This window comes from Homo sapiens, chromosome 17 (assembly GCF_000001405.40).
Source record: "Homo sapiens chromosome 17, GRCh38.p14 Primary Assembly".
Classification (NCBI taxonomy): Eukaryota; Metazoa; Chordata; class Mammalia; order Primates; family Hominidae; genus Homo; species Homo sapiens.
In genome coordinates this window covers 73,594,928-73,612,836 of record NC_000017.11, presented here as the reverse complement: position 1 = coordinate 73,612,836, position 17,909 = coordinate 73,594,928, and the positions used below count along the sequence as shown (strand labels likewise).

At 54.3% G+C, this 17,909-nt stretch overlaps 1 protein-coding gene across 5 annotated transcripts in view, besides 2 other annotated features; it reads left to right on the top strand.

Annotated features, from left to right (window-relative positions):
* The window catches only part of SDK2 (sidekick cell adhesion molecule 2), a 310,062-nt gene that overhangs the window by 31,609 nt on the left and 260,544 nt on the right, over window positions 1–17,909 (top strand). The window lies entirely within an intron of this gene.
* Window positions 262–798: an enhancer, noted in NCBI's record as "H3K27ac-H3K4me1 hESC enhancer chr17:71608178-71608714 (GRCh37/hg19 assembly coordinates)". NCBI's record gives its function as "activates a minimal SCP1, AML or CMV promoter by ChIP-STARR-seq in primed H9 embryonic stem cells {active_cell/tissue: H9 hESC(primed)}" and the evidence as "EXISTENCE:reporter gene assay evidence [ECO:0000049][PMID:30033119]".
* Window positions 17,142–17,687: an enhancer, noted in NCBI's record as "H3K4me1 hESC enhancer chr17:71591289-71591834 (GRCh37/hg19 assembly coordinates)". NCBI's record gives its function as "activates a minimal SCP1, AML or CMV promoter by ChIP-STARR-seq in naive H9 embryonic stem cells {active_cell/tissue: H9 hESC(naive)}" and the evidence as "EXISTENCE:reporter gene assay evidence [ECO:0000049][PMID:30033119]".

Here is a 17,909-nt window from a genome sequence, read left to right as displayed (position 1 = left end):
CAAGAGATTGTCCTGCCTCAGCCTCCTGAGTAGCTGGGACTACAGGTGCGCACCACCAGGTACAGCTAATTTTTGTATTTTTAGTAGAGACGGGGTTTCACCATGTTGGTCAGGCTTGTCTCAAAGTCTTGACCTTGTGATCTGCCCGCCTGGGCTTCCCAAAATGCTGGGATTACAGGTGTGAGCCACCTCGCCTGGCCTACTGTTACTATTATTATTATTATTTGGCTCTCTGGGCTTCTCATTTTGCCACCGCCCCCAAGTTCTGAAGGGGTCAGAATGGGGAAGCCGGGACCCTCAGGCTGCCACCCTGGGCTTGTCGGCTGCAGAACTCCCTTCCCTTGGCCTCCTCTTCTACCCTCACCCCGGCAGGGCCACAAGGACCCAGTGAGGGTAGGGGACCTTGGGAGGCCAGCCTGCAGCCTAGGTGCAGCTGGGCCACAGGGACCCGGTGAGGGTGGGGACTGTGCGGGGCCAGCCTGCAGCCCAGGTGCAGCTGGGTCACAGTGACCCGATGAGGGTAGGGGACCATGCGGGGCCAGCCTGCAGCCCAGGTGCAGCTGGGTCACAGGGACCCCGTGAGGGTGGGGGACCGTGGGGGGCCGGCCTGCAGCCCGGGTGCAGCTGGGCCACCACTGTGGTGTACTTGCATTTATCTTTCCTCGCTTGAAGAGGCTGCAGCGGGGGTGAAAGGAATTGCTGTTTATTTTCATAACGAGTTCTCAATGCGTTTGCAAACTAATAAAATCAACTCATTAGGCCACATGTTTAATTCACAACTGTACTGTGGGGAGACTTCCCTGGCGGCTGATGGGTAATGTGGGCTCCCTCCTGAGACAGGGAAAGTGTCTGTGGTACTTACAGTCTCTGTGACCATCAGCACACGTTGGGGTCCTGCTTCTCCCCTTCCCCACGCAGAGTTGGGCATCAGTTTCTGTCCAAGCCCAGAGCCGGGAGATACTTTCATCTGACCCTGGGCTCTGGTGGCGACTCCCTCCAGCTTGGCTGCAGGGGCAGGGGCCGGGCAGAAGCTGGGCTGGACTGCCTGCTCCAAAGCTGGCAAGGACGTGGGTCCCAATAGGAGGAGCGTGGAGTGGGTAGGCCTTACAGAGCTGGGGTGGGGGCAAGGGACCCTCTCACTGCACCCTAACTTGCTGGGAAGCAGCATGACTGGCCATGAGGGAAGGTGGGGAAACTGAGGCTGGGAAAGCCTCTGCAGGTCACAGGCTCAAACTCAGGCCTCCATGAGGCCGTGCTCATTCCACTTACCATGTGAGCAGAGGCCACAGGGGAACTAGGGAAGCACACACCCAGCCAAGGTGTTGGGGTCCCCCCAGGGCACCTCTCCCAGGGGGACTTGGGCGTCCAGCAAGGAGGGGCCACAGAGGCGGGCCCCAGCCTTGCTATGCCATAGCCTGGCCTCCTGGAGGCCTCTGAGTGGCCCTGGGGCGTGCTCCACACTGGTCAGAGCAGTCCCTGACCCTGCCAGAGAGAGGACGCTGGCTTCATCATGGTTCTCTGTAGAAAGTGCCAGGAAAGGAGAGGACAGAGCCAGAGGCTGAACTTGGGTGAGGGGTCTTTGTCCATCAGCAGTGGGGGCAGAGAGAGAGAGAGTGGGATAAAAGGAGAGAAAGTGAGATTCTAAATCCCCCTCCTGGGAGAGAACCAGAAGTCTTTGACCCTCAGAGCTGTGTGAGCCTGCGTGGCACCACAACCCCTCGGAGCCCCTGGTCTCTTGCAAAATCGCAGCACGACCTAGGGCACGATGACTTGGATTTCTAGCAAAATGCAATTTCAGACTGTGCAGAGAATACAGTATTAAGACCTGTAGCTGACTTCACATCCTTCAGAACATTCTATAACATTTCTGACAGATCCTTGTGTTCATTCTGAGAACTGGGAGGTGGGGGGCACAGGCCCCCATGTTCTCTTGGTCTCCATACTCCTGCCTGACCCTCCATCTCTCTGTCTCTCATACACACACACACACACACACGCACACGCACACCACACATACACTCCTCCACTTGTACACATACCAAATGCATAGATATATACATGAACACACATATATAGATACATATGCTCACACACCCTCTCCATCCTTCCTGGGCACACCTAACACACACAGACACACATTACACACATGCCTTACACACAGAAAACACATGCACACACAGAAACACCAGTTGCACACATAAACATGCACACATACTCACTCCCCGCCTCCCTCGTGGCTACTGTGGGGGAAATTAGCAATGCCATGGGCTCTCCTGGCCGTCTTGTGGCTGCAGTGAAGCAGTCCTGTGAGTCAGATCCCCAGTGAGTGACCCAGATACCAAGCGTCATGCATGCTGTCACTGGGATTTGCAGCCACTTGGAATGCGTGCTGGGCCAAAATTCAGGCTGAGAACAAAATGGTCAGTTGATTGATTTTTTTCCCCCTTTCTGCAGTGTCTGGGATGGGGCAAGCAGCTTTTGAGCTTGGAGCAGGGCAAAAGGTGCATTTCGGGGTGCCCTAAGTGACTGGCTGGGCCTCCGCATCTCTCCTGAGGATATAGTCCCCTTCGAAGAGCTGATGAAACCTACGGGTTTCCTCCCCAGTCACATGCCTGTGCATGGGCACACAACTTTTAGGGTATACTTTCAGGGAGCTTCAGCCCCTCTGACTGGGGATCCCTGGAGAACAATGAGTCCAAAGCATCCTAGGCTTTTAGTGTCTCCCCGAGACCAGTGTCATCTCCCCAGGGACGTGGAGGAGAAAGACGGGGTGTCTTCCCCATGTCTCCGTGGGGCTGATGGGCTGCACAAGCATTTGTGGGGGACCCTGCTTCCATCTTGTTCAGCAGGACACCTGTTTCCCGTGCAGCTGCCTGGCTGAGCTCCGCACCTACTACCAGTCCCAGCCCTTGCTCCAGTGAGCTGTTTTTGTCTCCTGACAGCTGCCTGTTGATTGCTGGAATGGGAGGGACATGGCCAGCAGGGACTCTGTCTCCTTGGGCCCTGGGGGCTCTCGAGGTTTTCTGGAGGTTCTCATGCAACTTCTCTTTCCCACTTTGGCCCCAGCAGTTCCCTCCCTCCCTCCTGTGCTTTGGCTCCTTTGGGATTTGGAGAGACCCTGGAGAACTCTTGTAAACTGCACGTAGGTAAGAGGGTACCCATTACCTCCCTTGAAAGTCATTCCCATTAGCAGAGAAATGCTTTGTGATTTCTCCCATCTTGAAAAAACAAACCTTCTCTTGAGCCGTTTTCCCTGTCAGCTTCCACTGCATGTCTTTGCTCCCTTTGCAGCAAAATGTCATGAAAAAGTTGCTAATGCCCCTGTCTCTAATTCCTGTCTTCCCTTTCTGTCTTAAACCCAGTCGGGCTTCCACTGAAGCTGCTCTGCTGGGGCTGGTTCTCAGCCCTGCGACTAGGTCCATCGTGGTCTTCTCTTGGCTGGCTCTCAGTTTGGTGCCTTTCTTGCTGGCTCCTCCTCCTGGTCCAGCCTCTGATGTCAGGGCGTTCTGGACTCAGTTCTGGGCTCTCTCCTCCTTTCCATGAGTACCCACCCCTTGGTGATCTCATCCAACCTCTGCCTGCGATACCCATGTGTATTCCCTCCAGCCCAGACCCATCTCTCACACTCCAGGCTTATCTCTCCAACACTGCATTCACTTTGATGACCAAGTCATCCCAACTGAACACACACAAGGTCTTGCAAACTCCTGATCTTCCCCAAAAAGGCTTTCCTCCAGCGGCCTTCCCAGGCTTTACTGAGGTCAATGCCAAGATGCAGTGATCTGCAGCCCAAACCTCAAGGCTAACCCTTGACTCTTTCTCTTACACCCCACATCTAAGCCAATAGAAGAATCTGATTAACGGAAGATATTTGATTCGTATATGTAGAGTTCAGTTGCTTCTCATCATCCTTCTCCGCTGCGACACGGTGCCAGCCACCATCATCTTTGTCCTGAGCCACTGCAGTCACCTCCTCACAATAGACAGTAGCCACGGTGATCCTTTAAAAATAGACATGATCTCCCTTCCCTTGAGTGTGGGCTGCTGTTAGTGCAGCTGCTTCCTGAGAGTACCATACAAAAAGGGAAATTTTAGGCCTGGCACAGTGGCTCACACCTATAATCCCAGCACTTTGGGAGGCCAAGGCAGGTGGATCACCTGAGGTCAGGAGTTCAAGACCAACCTGGCCAACATGGTAAAACCCCATCTCTACTAAAAATAAAAAAATTATCTGGGCGTGGTGGTGGGTGCCTGTAATCCCAGCTACTCGGGAGGCTGAGGCAGGAGAATCGCTTGAACTCGGGAGGTGGAGGTTGCAGTGAGCCGAGATCGCGCCATTGCACTCCAGCCTGGGTGACAAGGGCAAAACTCCCTCTCAAAATAAAAGGAAATTTTAAAAGTAACTTTGCAGTGGAGAATGCTGGTAGCAAACCCTGTCTCCCCAGGTGATCAAGGTTAACATAGTCAGCGACGAGGCATGTTGCCAGCAGGCACCCTGACACGATGGGATGAGAAGGGCCCTTTACCTCCGTGATCGTCCTCCCCAAAACCCACAAGCTCAGTCTAACCATGAGAAACACATCAGAGAAAAATAAAGGGAGGGACAGTCTACAAAGGACCCGACCAGCACCCCTCAAAACTGTTGAGGTCGTCCAACACCAGGCACATCTGAGAAACTGTCACAGTCCCAAGGGGCCCAAGGAGAAGTGACGGTGAAACGTAATGTGGGATTCTGGATGGGATCCGGGAACAGAAAGGGACATTAGGGAAAGACGAGGGAAGTCCAAGTGTACTGTGGGGTGTAGTTGGTGGTCATGGACCCACATTCTTTCCTTGGTTGTGACAAATGTACCGTAGTGTGCAAGATGTTAACAAAAAGGGCAACTGGGTGATGGGGTGTGTGGACACTCTTTGTTCTATCTTTATAACTGGACTGTCATCTGAAGCTGTTCTGAAATAAAATATTAACAACAACCAAAAAAAAAAAAAGCACACAGAAGTCAGAGCATGTGTCCTTCGCTCAAAAGCCTGCAGCGTAAAACCCTCAGAGTAAAAGCCTTTTCTACAGAAGCTTAGGAGGTCCCCGAGATCCGACTCTCTGTTGCTTTCCAGCCGTGTGGCCTCTGTTCTGTCTCCCAAGCCTGCCCTGCAACCCCTTCTGGAAAACCTTGGGGTGTGCAGATCTGGCTGCCCTCAATGCTGCACCCCAGGTGACTCCTTGGCTCAGTGTCACCTCCTCAGTGGGGTCTGGCCCACCTCCCAAACTGAACACCGTAGCCTACTCCTGACACCTGCTCTCCCACCCGAGACCCCTTCCCTGGCTCAGCGTTTTGCTTTTTTTCATGAGCTCCCCAGGGGCAGCAATCTTTGTCTTAAGGGTCCCCCGGTAGATCCCAAATGCCCGGATGAGGGCCTGGTACATGACAGGTGCTGAACACACACACACAGTTGAATGAAGAAATGAGTGCGTGTGGGCCTCTCCCTGCTCTCAGGCCAGGTCCCAGCTAAGATATGTGCCAATCGCACTGGTTGATCAGAGTGGACGTCTCAGCTGTGCTTTTCTACAGCTGCCTGCTAGGGCCTCTTCTCAGCAAGGCTGTGGTGGTGAGGACAACTCCTCTCTTCCTCCTTAGAGATCTGGAGGATCCTGTGAAGTCCTCTTGACCACTTGTTGTCCACACCACTTATTTGGCACTTGAATCAGTAGTTGCCTCTTCTTGAGGACACATTTCTCCCAGGGAGCATGGGACAAAGAGGCCACTCATGAAAGGGGTAGGAATGAATGAGGGAGGAAGGGACTGTCTCCCTTGCCTGTCCAGCCTCATGGTCTAGCTTGAATATTGGAGACCCTCAAGAAGCATTGGCTCTTGGGCCATTCCAATGCTTTTCCATCTTGGAAGCCTGGAAAACCACCCTTCTGGTTCAGTCATTGACTGAGCTGCTCCACTCAGCATGCCATGGGAAGCTTTCCCTCCGCCTGATCTGCACCCCTTCTCACCCACTATGTCACCACTCCCAGAATGGAGAATATGTTTCCGTGACTAATAGAGCCTGTTCCCTTCCCCTCTCCATTCTCGGAACTGAAAATCTGGATTCTGCGTGGATGGGGTGGATAGTGGCTTTTTCTCCATGGATAGAGTCGATCGTGACTTTCCAAAAGAAAACAGGCTCTGCAGGGAACCAAACCTGGGTTTGAACCTAATTTCACCATTCACCAGCCACAGCACGTTTGTCGATTTATGACAACTCATTGAGCCTCATCTGTGGAGTAGAAACGGTGAAACCCGCCTTCGTGGCTGTCGTAAGGGTTACAGATGGTGCGGGTAAAATAGGAGAGGACCCGGCCCATACCAGGCTCTGAGGAGGTGGCAGCTGATGTTGTTTTCTTACCTCCTGAAAGCCCCTTCCAGCATTTACTCACCAGCCCCAGCACCCATAAGCACCTGCCCTGCCCCCCCTCAGAGGAGGGGCTCAGCAGACCACCCAGAGCCCCTGCCCCATCCATCTTTCCGGGAGGGGGGCCCTGCCCCACCCAGCTTCCCCAGGGAGCTCCTGCCCAGCCCAGCTTCCCTAGGGAGCTGCCTCTCACCAGCTTCTGGGCTCCTGCTGCTGCCCCTGAGAACGTCAGCCTCTTTTCATCATGAGTCCATTGTGCTAGTCAAGATGTGAAGCAAAAAGTAATAATAAGCAACAAGCATGGTGTGCCCCTCCAAGCACCCTACAAAATAAATAGAATCTTTGCAAAAGAAAACCAACACAGCCCCATCTCTGCTAGTGAGATCCCATCAGCACGTCAACAAGGCCATCTCATTTTGTTTGTTTGGTATGAGTGGGGTTTTTTTTTTCTTATTTTCCTTAAAACACAGGAAGGAAAAAACCAAACTCTACAGTTTGCTGTGGTCTTGCTGGGCAGTCAGGGAAATGGGGTGTCAGCTTTCCCGGGCTTGGTGAAGAGCAGGAGGCTGAGTCCAGAGAAGGGACTACCGATCTGCCAGTCACTCAGCAAGCATTTTGAGCGCTTATTACGTGCTGAGCGTGCCACAAAGGGCTGGTGTTGTATACGTGCATCCGATCTCTTGGCACATGCTCATAGTTAGTGAGGAACCCAAACAGGTCATCCCGGTGCCAAGGTCAGTGCATGGAGGCACACCAGGGTATTGCCCGAATTTGGAGGAGTGACAGGGAACTCATCCAGGATTAGGTAACAAGGAGGCCTTCCTGGAGGAGGTGATGCTGGGCTGACTCAGGAAAGGAGAGCAGGAAAATCTGACACAGGAGTTATGGGTCATTATTACCATCTCTCCCACCCTCTCCACTCCCTCCTCTCCTTAGCTGAAGGCCCCAACTGCCTTCTCCAAGACATGAAGAACCCCTCAAGTGAGAATCTCCGGGATTCCAGCCTTCCTTCTAGCAAGACTTTTTCCACCCCCTGTGCTTTCTTCTCCACACCCATTTCCTGTGGTCAAGGCCGGACCTCCACCTGAGCCTGGATCCCGCCCCCTCACCTGGACCTCCATCCTCTCTCTCTGCCAAGTCTTTCCCCTCAGCCTGACCTGCTACGTCCCTCAAACCTTAGCAATTTCTCTTGACTGCTCCGGCCTCTTCCCTACATCTTTCCTTCACTCAACCTCTTGAAGGGGCCGTCACTCTTTCCCCCACCTCATTGCCTGCCCACATCACCCCAGGCCTCATCCCTTTTTCGAAGCTTCAAGGTCAAAGTTGCCTGTGATCTCCATGTTGGTAAACCAGAGGGACCCTCTTACGGCCTTGCCCCCTTGCCCATAGTTGGCCTTGCCCAGTGGTGGCCTCTCCTTTCTTCTCAGCTTTCAGGAACACTGCAGCCTTCTGGGGTTGCCTCTCTAACTCTCCTTCCAGGACCACTGGGGGCTTCCTCTCCCGCAGTGGTCCACTAAATGTGCATATGTGCCAGTGTTCCCCAACCCCCTCCCACGTGGCTTTAGTTGCCATCACTGTGCTGATGGCATCCTCGCCCACCACGCCTGCTGCAATGGCTGTGATGAGCTCCAGACCTCCTGGACCTCGGCGTGGTCTTCCAGTCCTTCCCTTAGCCCCACCGCCCAAGCTGAGCCTCCTCATTTCTATACCCACATGCCTGTTGTGAGGCCCACTTGGCACACTAGCTTAGGCCTGAAACCCTAATGCTATCCTTTCTCTCTCCACACCCCTCAGCCCCGCACTCCTCATGCTGGGTCACCAAGGTCTCCTGGACTGTTGCAGCAGCCTCCTGGCTGTCATCCTGCCTCTCTAGTCCCAGGGCTCAGCAGGGCAAGGAACAGGAGGTGGCAGTGGAGATCCCAGAGCAACTGTTTGTTCCTTTAAGCCAGCTGCCCACCGGCCTTTGGGGATGTAAAGTGTCATGTGTGGTTGCAATGCCGTGTTTTGTGGGCTGGTGACTTCCCTGGCAAACCAGGGGTATCCCGAGTGCCAGGTCCCTTCCCTGTGCCCTGAGTTTGTTTTGTCCTCCTGGGAGATGATGCGAAGGACAAGGGGGTGGTGGAGGAGCTGGCTCTGACTGGGCGTTCCTCTCTGAATCGCCTTTTCCACCCTGCCCGGAATGCAGGCCATGAGCTTTGCGGGTCCGCTCCTCTGGACAGGCTGAATGGGGCTCTGTTCGCTCAAGAGAGTGTGTGTGAGCACGTTATTTCCACGGACCCCCACCTGGAAACCACTCCTAGCCTCGCCCTGGAAATAAACACTCTCCTGGCCAGGAAGGCTGACGCTGGCGCTGCCCGGCGCGGGCGTTCCCTCCGCGTGGCAATCTCCAGGGGATCTGCTGCCCATTTGGCCCTGGGTTCTGAGACAGGCATTGTCCTCCTGCCAGCTGACGTTGGTGGGTTCTGCGCTTCCCCCTCTCTCCCCATCCTCCTCTTTATGACACCTCTTCTCCAGGGCTCTGCTAAGAGGACACTCATTGTGGCCGCTGACCTCTGATCCCAGGAAGTGTCCCAAGTTGGGGACATCCTTACAAGGTTCCAGGTGTGCCAGGATCTGTGTTGTAGAAGGAGCCAGACAGGCCTAGGTTGAAGGCCCAGCTTTGCCACCCACAAGCTGTGTGACCCCTGGCAACTTTCTTAACCTCTCTAAGCCTTGGTTTCGTCTTTAAAGCAAGGCTAATATGTCTTCTCTAGTAGCGTAGCTTTAAGGAGAAGCTATAACTGGATCACTGAAAAGTTCCTGGCACAGAACTGGGAAGCGTAAGTGGCTGCTGCCATGTTTATAGATTCTGAGTTGAGAGTGGGAGCTACAGGGACCCAAGCTCCCTGCACACTGGGAAGCCCGTCCTGCCTGGTGTAGCATCCTAGGCTCCCCTGGGTGTGCATCACCTTGGGACCCAGGCTAGCTACATTTCAGAGGAGAAAAGAGTCGTCTCTCCAACTTATCAGTGTGATAGATGCCCAGAGCATTTTTGAATCTTCTAGGGGAAGGGACATTGGCGGTCAGTATGAATCCTCTCAGTCCGGCCCAGAAGTCTCTCTCTAGCGCAGGGGGCCAGCCTCTGCCCGCATGGCCAGGCAGCAATGGTCACTTCCAGGATAGATACACTGATCTGCTAACCCCTCACTCTCCACCAAGTAGGGAGGTCTCTGAGGCCGGGACCTGGAGACTCTTCACCTGTGCACCCCTATGGCCAGCACAAGGTGGTCTCAGCAGGGAATGACATTGCCCTCCAGGGGACATGTGACACTGTCTGCAGACACTTTTGGTTGTCACAACCTGGGAGGGTGGTGAGTGTCTCAGGTCATCCTCCACCAAAGAATGATCCCACCCAAGCTGTCAATAGTGTCAAGGTTGGCTGGGCACAGTGGCTCATGCCTATAATCCCAACACTTTGGGAGGCTGAGGTGGGTGGATCACTTGAGGTCAGGAGTTTGAGACCAGCCTGATCAATATGGTAAAACCCTGTCTTTACTAAAATACAAAAATTAGCCAGGCGTGGTGGCAGGCCCTGTAATTTCAGCTACTTGGGAAGCTGAGGCACGACAATCACTTGGACCTGGGAGGTGGAGCTTGCAGTGAGCCGAGATCACGCCACTGCACTCCAGCCTGAGTGACACAGTGAGACTCCATCTCAACAACAACAACAACAACAAAATAGCGCCAGGGTTGAGAAACCCTGCTTTAAATCAACATTCTCACTTAAGGACAGTGCCCAGACCCGAACATAGATTTCCTTGTGTGGGTTTCTTGGGATTTAAGAGACTGAGAATGGGAAAAATGTCATCCAACTTTATTTCTATCTGGCATCAAAAAAGGAGGATTCTGCAAAGGAACTTCATTAAAAAAAAAAAAAAGAACTTAGACTTTTTTTTTCTTCCATCCATGTATTCATTTATTAGTGTCTGCCAGGCAGCCGGCACTCTGCTAAGAATGAGAGAATCCTGGATACTGAGTCAGAGATGGTGCACTGTTGCCAAGGCCCTGTTACAGGTCTGTGTGTGCAGCTGAGGATGCCATGGAGGAAGAGGCTCCCCGTCCTTGCTCTGCCCAGGCCTCGCAGCCCTCGCTTTCTTCCTAACAAAGTGGCTGAGGCATGCAGGCCTGGGCTCCTTCTCAGTCTCTGGGCCTCACAGAGGATTCATGGAGTGGGAGTGGGGATCTCAACTCCAGCCTCAGTTGTGTCACTGCCTTGTTTTTGTGACCTTGGAGTGAAGCACTCCAACTTCTGGGCCTCAGTTTCCCAAACGTGGCCAACTCACCTACCTACCTGTATTGGTTTCCTGTGGCTGCCGCAACGAAGCACTACAAACTGGGTTGTTTAAAACACAGTTCTGGGCTGGGCGCGGCGGCTCACGCCTGTAATCCCAGCACTTTGGGAGGCCAAGGCAGGCGGATCACCTGAGGTGAGGAGTTCGAGACCAGCCTGGCCAACATGGCAAAATCCCATCTCTACTAAAGATACAAAAATTAGCCGGGCATGGTGCTGGGTGCCTGTAATCCCAGCTACTCGGGAGCCTGAGGCAGGAGAATCACTTGAACCCAGGAGGCGGAGGCTGCAACGAGCCAAAATGGCGCCACTGCACTCCAGCCTGGGCGAAAAAGCAGGACTCTGTCTCAAAAAAGAAAAAAAAAAACAGTTCTGGAGTCTGGATGTCCAAAATCAAGGTGTCGTCGGCAGGGTTGGTTCCTTCTGGAGACTCCAAGGAGAGCTTGTCCCGGGACCGTCTCCTAGCTCTGGGCGCTACTGGTGATTCTCCACATGCCTTAGCCGAGAGATGCCTCACTCCAGTCTCTGCCTCCGTTGTCCCTCGGCCCTATCCCTATGTCTCTGTGCTTCATCCCGTCTTTTCTCTGTGCGTGTACCTGTGTCTAAATTTCCCTCTTCACAGGACAGCATATTGGACTAGAGTTCACCGTAATTCAGAACATATGCAACAACCTTCTTTCCAAATTAGGCCACATCGTGAGGTTCTGGGTGGACATGAATTTGGGGGGACACTATTCCACCCAGCATGCCACCTCAAAGGGTCCATGTGCTTAAACTTAGATCATTCGTAAGGCCAGGCGCGGTGGCTCACACCTGTAATCCCAGCACTTTGGGAGGCCGAGGCGGGTGGATCACCTGAGGTCAGGAGTTCGAGACCAGCCTGGCCAATATGGTGAAACCCCGTCTTTACTAAAAATACAAAAATTAGCTGGGCGTGGTGGTGCATGCCTGTATTCCCAGCTACTCGGGAGGCTGAGACAGGAGAATTGTTTGAACCTGGGAGGCGGAGGTTGCAGTGAGCTGAGATCATGCCACTGCACTCCAGCCCGGGCAACAGAGTGAGATGCCATCTCAAAAAAAAAAAAAAATTTTTTTTTAAATAATAAAATGAAAAGATCATTCATAAAGGCACCAAAGGCCCTGAGGCCTCTCTTGGGTGGGTTTCTGTGCACAGAGTCCTGCCCCCCAGACTCTGGTATCCTGCCTCCTGTTCCCTGGTGGGCCCAGACCAGCCGGAGCAGAGATTGGAATGCAGAGGAGTGAGCAGCTCTGGATTAGTCCGTCTGAGCTGCTCCAAGGACAGGGAAAGGGTATCCGGTGGGGAGTGGAGATAGGATGGACCAGGCACTGGGGAGGGGACTGTTTGTTTTCACAACAATAAATGCCTCTTGATGGGCTGTGGTTTGCACAGGGACTTGATGCCAGATCAAGTTGTCCGCATCGACTGGATGGCCACAACACCCTGTCGCAGAGCAGGAGAGGAGCTGGCAGGGGCTCTTGTCGGCCTCTCCCCACACTGTCTGCTGGCACCATCGGAGTCACTTGGGGAGCTAGGGGCTGAGTGACCAGAGCAGGTGAGGCTCTGCCCCAGAGAAGCCCTGGGTGTCCCCCTAGGTGGGACAGCTCTGATCCTGGGACCAAGGATTGCTGTCGCCCTCTCCACACCCCGCCTCCCCCAGGGGAGGCAGAAGCCAGGGAGGCCTGTTGGGAAGGCGTCCCGTTTTTAATGAACAAATTACTGCCCTTGTTAGCAGCACGAACAGGGCTTTGGGAGGATCAAGAGAGCCAGAGCTTGGGAAACAGCCACCAATTTAATGAAGAGAATGAATTCCAGATGTGGCCTCTGGCCCAGCACACGGCTGCCATCCATGGGCTCCTGGAGGGAAACCCAGTGCTGCTGGATGGGACCGAGGAAGTGGCGGGAGCTGCAATGGCCAGGGAAGGGTGAGGGTCTGCCCCGGGCTCAGGCCACCTGGGACCAGGTCCCCTCCTGTCCAGCACAAGGACCCCTTTCCCCAGGAAAGTCAGGGATCTCCATGTGCTTGTGGTTGTTTATTTAGCAACCACTGTTTGAGAAAACATAGTGACGAGGGGCTGCTACGGGTTCAGTATCACTTTTAAATGGACGTCTAGCGTATTAATCACAACAGCAGTCACATACTTTGACAAATAACCGTAGGTGTGTGAGACAGAGTGACTGTGTTGGCAGACAGGACTTGGCACCTACCTTCACTGAAGGACCCCCCATCACAGCTGAGGAGCCTGGGCCCCTGTGTCAGAGACCACTGGCTGAGCTCCCTGCAAGTGGGGAACAGGTTGGGCCTGGCAAGGACTGTGGCACAGCCTCTGCTTTTAGCCTGAGTCTCAGGATGGAGAGGAATGGCTTAGGGTGGTGGAATGGATTTTGAGCTATGCTTGAAGTGAGAGAAAAAAGAAACTGGCTTAATGTGTGTTCCCCTCCCTCCCTCCTTCTTCATCCTTTCCTCTTCCCCCTTTCCTCCCTCCTTCCTTGCTCCCTCTCTCCTCCTCTTTTCCCTCTCCCCTTTATTTTTATTTATTTAATTTAATTTTTTTTTTTGAGATGGAACCTCACTGTCATCCAGGCTGGAGTGCAGTGCCGCTATCTCAGCTCACTGCAGCCTCCGCCTCCTGGGTTCAAGTGATTCTCCTGCCTCAGCCTCCTGAGGAGTAACTGGGATTACAGGTGCCCACCACCACGCCAGGCTAATTTTTGTATTTTTGGTAGAGATGGGGTTTCGCCATGTTGGCCAGGCTGGTCTTGAACTCCTGACCTCAAGTGATCCACCCCCTTCGGCCTCCCAAAGTGCTGGGATTACAGGCGTGAGCCACCGTGCCCAGCACCTTCTCTCCTTTCTTTTCTCACTCCCTCCTACCTACCTACCTTCCTCCTTCTGTACGAATGTACTAAGCACTACAAGAGACACATCAGTGGGCCAGGCCCATTGCACAGGACACAACAATGAAAAATATCCAGCCTCAGCCTTCTGGAAGCTCGGAGACTTCAGTTGGAAAAACAAGAAAAGGGGTAACTCTTTCTAGGGGGATGCTACATTTTCCACTCGCTCCTTACCCGGAAAAGTCCGTTTTCTTCAGCACTCTCATCTATTGGGGATCTGTCTAAAATTTTACTTAAAGAAAGGGTTCCACTACTTGAAGAAAAATCGAAGCAAGCCGGCGCTTGGTGCCTGATCCATTCATTTTATTGTGTAAATGGAAACGGAAAGCAGGAGAGGTGCTGTGACTTACACGAGGCCTTCGAGCTCACAGGTGCCAGGCCCTGGCCAGACCACGTCTTCTCAGCACCTGTCCAGTGCCTCTCCCACCTTCCCCTGCTGGAGGGGACATAGGTATACAGCTAGGGGTGGTCCCTGGAGGGGGATGGGCTGCTCCCGGTGGGACTATTTTTAACCTCTGTAAAGAAAAAGGCCAGCGATCCACGTCGTGCCCGCTGCCTCACACTTACTGGGCAGCTTCCTCTCCTGGAGGGTCATTTACTGACAGTGATGGGTTTCAGGTGGGCCTAGTTTAGCAGGTGGTTTCTATAAAGAGCAGAGCTGCATCCCCAGGGAACGAGAGCCGGGCAGAGGGGAAGCCAGGGGAGACAGGCACTGTCCGTGTTATGGATTTTATCGAGTCATAAACAAGGCTGGAGAATAAACAAAACTGGCTGATGCATGGGGCTGCCTCGGCCAGCTGGCTGTCAGGGAGGCCTGTGCCATCTGAGCTGCCCTGCATGAGCCCGCACAGGTGCCGTCGGCCAATGACCCAGCGACCTGAGCCAGGAGGACAGGGGGTTAGCGTCTAGGAACTCACGCCCCACACCGAGTCTCCCAAACCCAGCAAACTGCCTGTGGGTCCGGCCTACTCCTGTCACCTGTATATGCTTAGATGGCTCCAAAGTCATGGCAGTGGTGAATGGTGGGAGGGTGGCTGTTAACTGGGGTTGGGGCACGGGATCCTAGCACCCTCCCCCTGGGGAGATGGGATGGAAAAGTTCTAGGTTTGGGGCACCTGAGAACAACTCGGACACCAGCTGGCTATGTAACCTCAGAATAGTGACCCAAACCCTCTGAGCGTCACTCTTCCCATCTGTAGAAGTAGAAAGGGAATATTTCACCTTGTAGGGGTATCATAAAAATGAAATAGGCCAGGCGCGGTGGCTCAGGCCTGTAATCCCAGCACTTTGGGAGGCTGAGGTGGGCGGATCACGAGGTCAGGAGATCGAAACCATCCTGGCTGACACAGTGAAACCCCATCTCTACTAAAAATACAAAAAATTACCCGGGCGTGGTGGCGGGTGCCTGTAGTCTCAGCTACTTGGGAGGCTGAGGCAGGAGAATGGCGTGAACCCGGGAGGCGGAGCTTGCAGTGAGCTGAGATCGTGCCACTGCACTCCAGCCTGGGCGACAGAGCGAGACTCTGTCTCAAAAAAAAAAAAAAGAAAAGAAAATAGTCCAGAAGCACACAGTGAAAACTCCTATGAATACATATTTATAAGGATAGCGGTGGGCTGGGGGCAGGATCGGCAGAAGCCTGTCGTTCCATGAGCCCTGAGAGACAGGACGGTAATGTCCATAGTTCTGTTGATTGTGTGTCTCCCACGAGCCCAGGAACTATTCCAGACAGATACGTCCACATCGCAGAGTTCTATAAGCAAAGTATCACAGGAGAGGCCCCTGCTTTATAGAACTGAGATCACAGAAGTTAAATAATTTGCCTATGGTCAGAGGGTCATACCTGGCAGGGCTGAGACTTGGTCACAGGTTTCTTGTGCCCAGCTTCCAGAAATCTGATTGCATCCTCTCATCTTCCACCCAGGGCAGCTCCCCGTCTTGTGTCAGTAGTGGGGTGCTGGGTAGCCAGCACCAGGGAGAGTCTCCACCCTTCAAGGCCCCGGTGAGGTGAAGGAGAATGAAAATATCCAAAACCCATCAGGAGAATACGTGTTAAAGGACAAGAGAAAGACAGATGAGCTTGGGAACATCTTGGCTCTTGACAGGCACTCCCACAGGGATGATTCAGATGAGGTGAGTCCAGGTGCACTGGCCCGGTCCCTGGGCATGGAGCAGGTTCAGACTGAAGTGAGGAGACGATTCCTAGGGCGCCGGACTCCCGACCAGAGTCCCCAGAATGGAAATGGCCGGGGTTCTGCCTGCGCATCCTGGACTAGGGGTGGAGGGAGCAAGCGGGCAACTCCGAAGACAAGGTTAGCACCTCCCATTCCAAGCCAGCTTCATCTCCCTCTTTTGCTCAGACACCGCCAGCCATGGCAGGGAGCTATCCCCAGGGACTTGTCATCTGGAGGCCATGGAGGGAGGATGAGAGCTGGAGAGGCCACAAGATCAGAGTGGAGCTGGGAGGGTCGGGGAGGCTGGAACCAGCCACCCTGTCCTGTGTCCCCTGTTTCTGCTCCTCCTCATCTCCCTTCTGGGGGTGGGGGGAACATCAGAGACCACTGGGAAGGGGGTTGGCTGTGGGTTCCGGGGACATGTCACTGCGGGAAACAGATACATCATGAGCCAGCGCCCCCTTTCAGAGGCTGGGACGCTGGGACAGGGAGGCCAGAGAGAATGCAGAATATGTATATGCAGAAATATATTGAGAAGTAAAATGCACTGATAGGAGTTTTCGTACATTCACACAAACCCATTATGCAGATGAGGAAACTGAGGGTCGCAGAGGTTGACTGGAGCTCCGGCCAATGTTCATACCGTGTCATGCCCCTCTCCAGGGAGGGGAGGAGGCTTCCTCCAGGTCCCCAGTTGGAGTGGGGACCCAGGTGTGTTGACACCTTGCCCTGATCACTGCCCCATATGCCAGGCTGCCTTCTCTCATAGAGGTCGCCACTGCCTCCCCACTCACCCTGCGGGTCCCTCTCCACTACCCCTGCCGCCCCAGATTGCCCAGTGGCTCTGTCCCAAAGCTGCCCAGGACCCAGGTCTCCAGGCTACCACCACCTGCAGCTGGGACTCCCTGTGTGTGCATCCCTGCCCAGGACAGCCCAAACGTGTTGGGGCAGGCACAGGGGGTAGGTGAGGGCCGTCTGCCTGGGACATAAGACTGGGAGTGCCGAGGCCTCACTGTATCCCCCTAAGGCCAAGACCTCTGACTTCTGCAATCCTATGTGTCAAGGGCTTCTCCATCAGGCCGCCTAAGCCATGTCTGCCACACTCTCGGGCTGCTTGATGGCTGCTTCTAGGCAGCAGGGAGCCCCACAGGATGGAGCCTGTCCTCCCAGCTCCCCTGGCCCCTCTCAGCCCCCCTGGCTGCCTCCAAGCCTTCTAGGGAGGATAGGCCCTTGCCAGGGCCTGCCGGTGAGGAGTGGATGCCAGCCTTGAACTGACACTGCCCCCACCAGGCCCCCCTCCAAACTGCATGCTGGTTCCCAGTGGGTCAGCGGCTACTCCCCGCACCCCAGCTTCCTGCCTGCCCTGGGGCTGTGGTGAACAGCTGGGGCCATCTGGGCCTGGCCTGGGCCCCAGGCTGCCTTTCTGGTGACTCCATACCTCCCTAGGAGGGAGCCTGTGCCACTGGCCAGTCCAAGCGAGGAGGAGACAGCGTTTCCTCTGATGACCCGAGGCTGGGTCCCCTCCAGGGCCCAGACTCATGGCTGTGTGGGAGGCTGGTGCTGTGTGGGATCTCTTGGAAGCACAAGGGCCTCCTTCCCAGGCCCTGGCACACACCAATATTGTGCCCAGACATCCTTGGGACACCCCCTCAATCTGGAGCCATAGGGCAAGAGAGTCTCACCACAAACGGCATTCATTACCTGTGGCCACCCCGACTCTATTTCTCTGTCTCTCCGACACAGGGCCACGCTCTCCCCCAGGCCTGCCTCTCCCCATCTCTCAGACCTCCCTTTCCTCCCTCCTCCTCCTCCTCCTCCTCACCTTCACCCACACTCGAATTCTCACTGACACCCCTTCTGTGGCTCATGGCTTCACTTATTCAGCAAGTGCCCACCCAATGCCCACTTATTTCAGGCACCGTGCTAGGAGCTGTGGGTACAGAGGTAGAAACAACAGAAACAGGCCGAAGTCTTTTCTCGTGGTGATGGCGTTCTGATTGAGGAGGTGATCCACAGAGCAGAGGGTGACAAGGGCTGGGGGAGTGAAGCAGGCAGGTAGTGAGGCCTGTTGTATGTGTGTGTGCACGTGTGCTG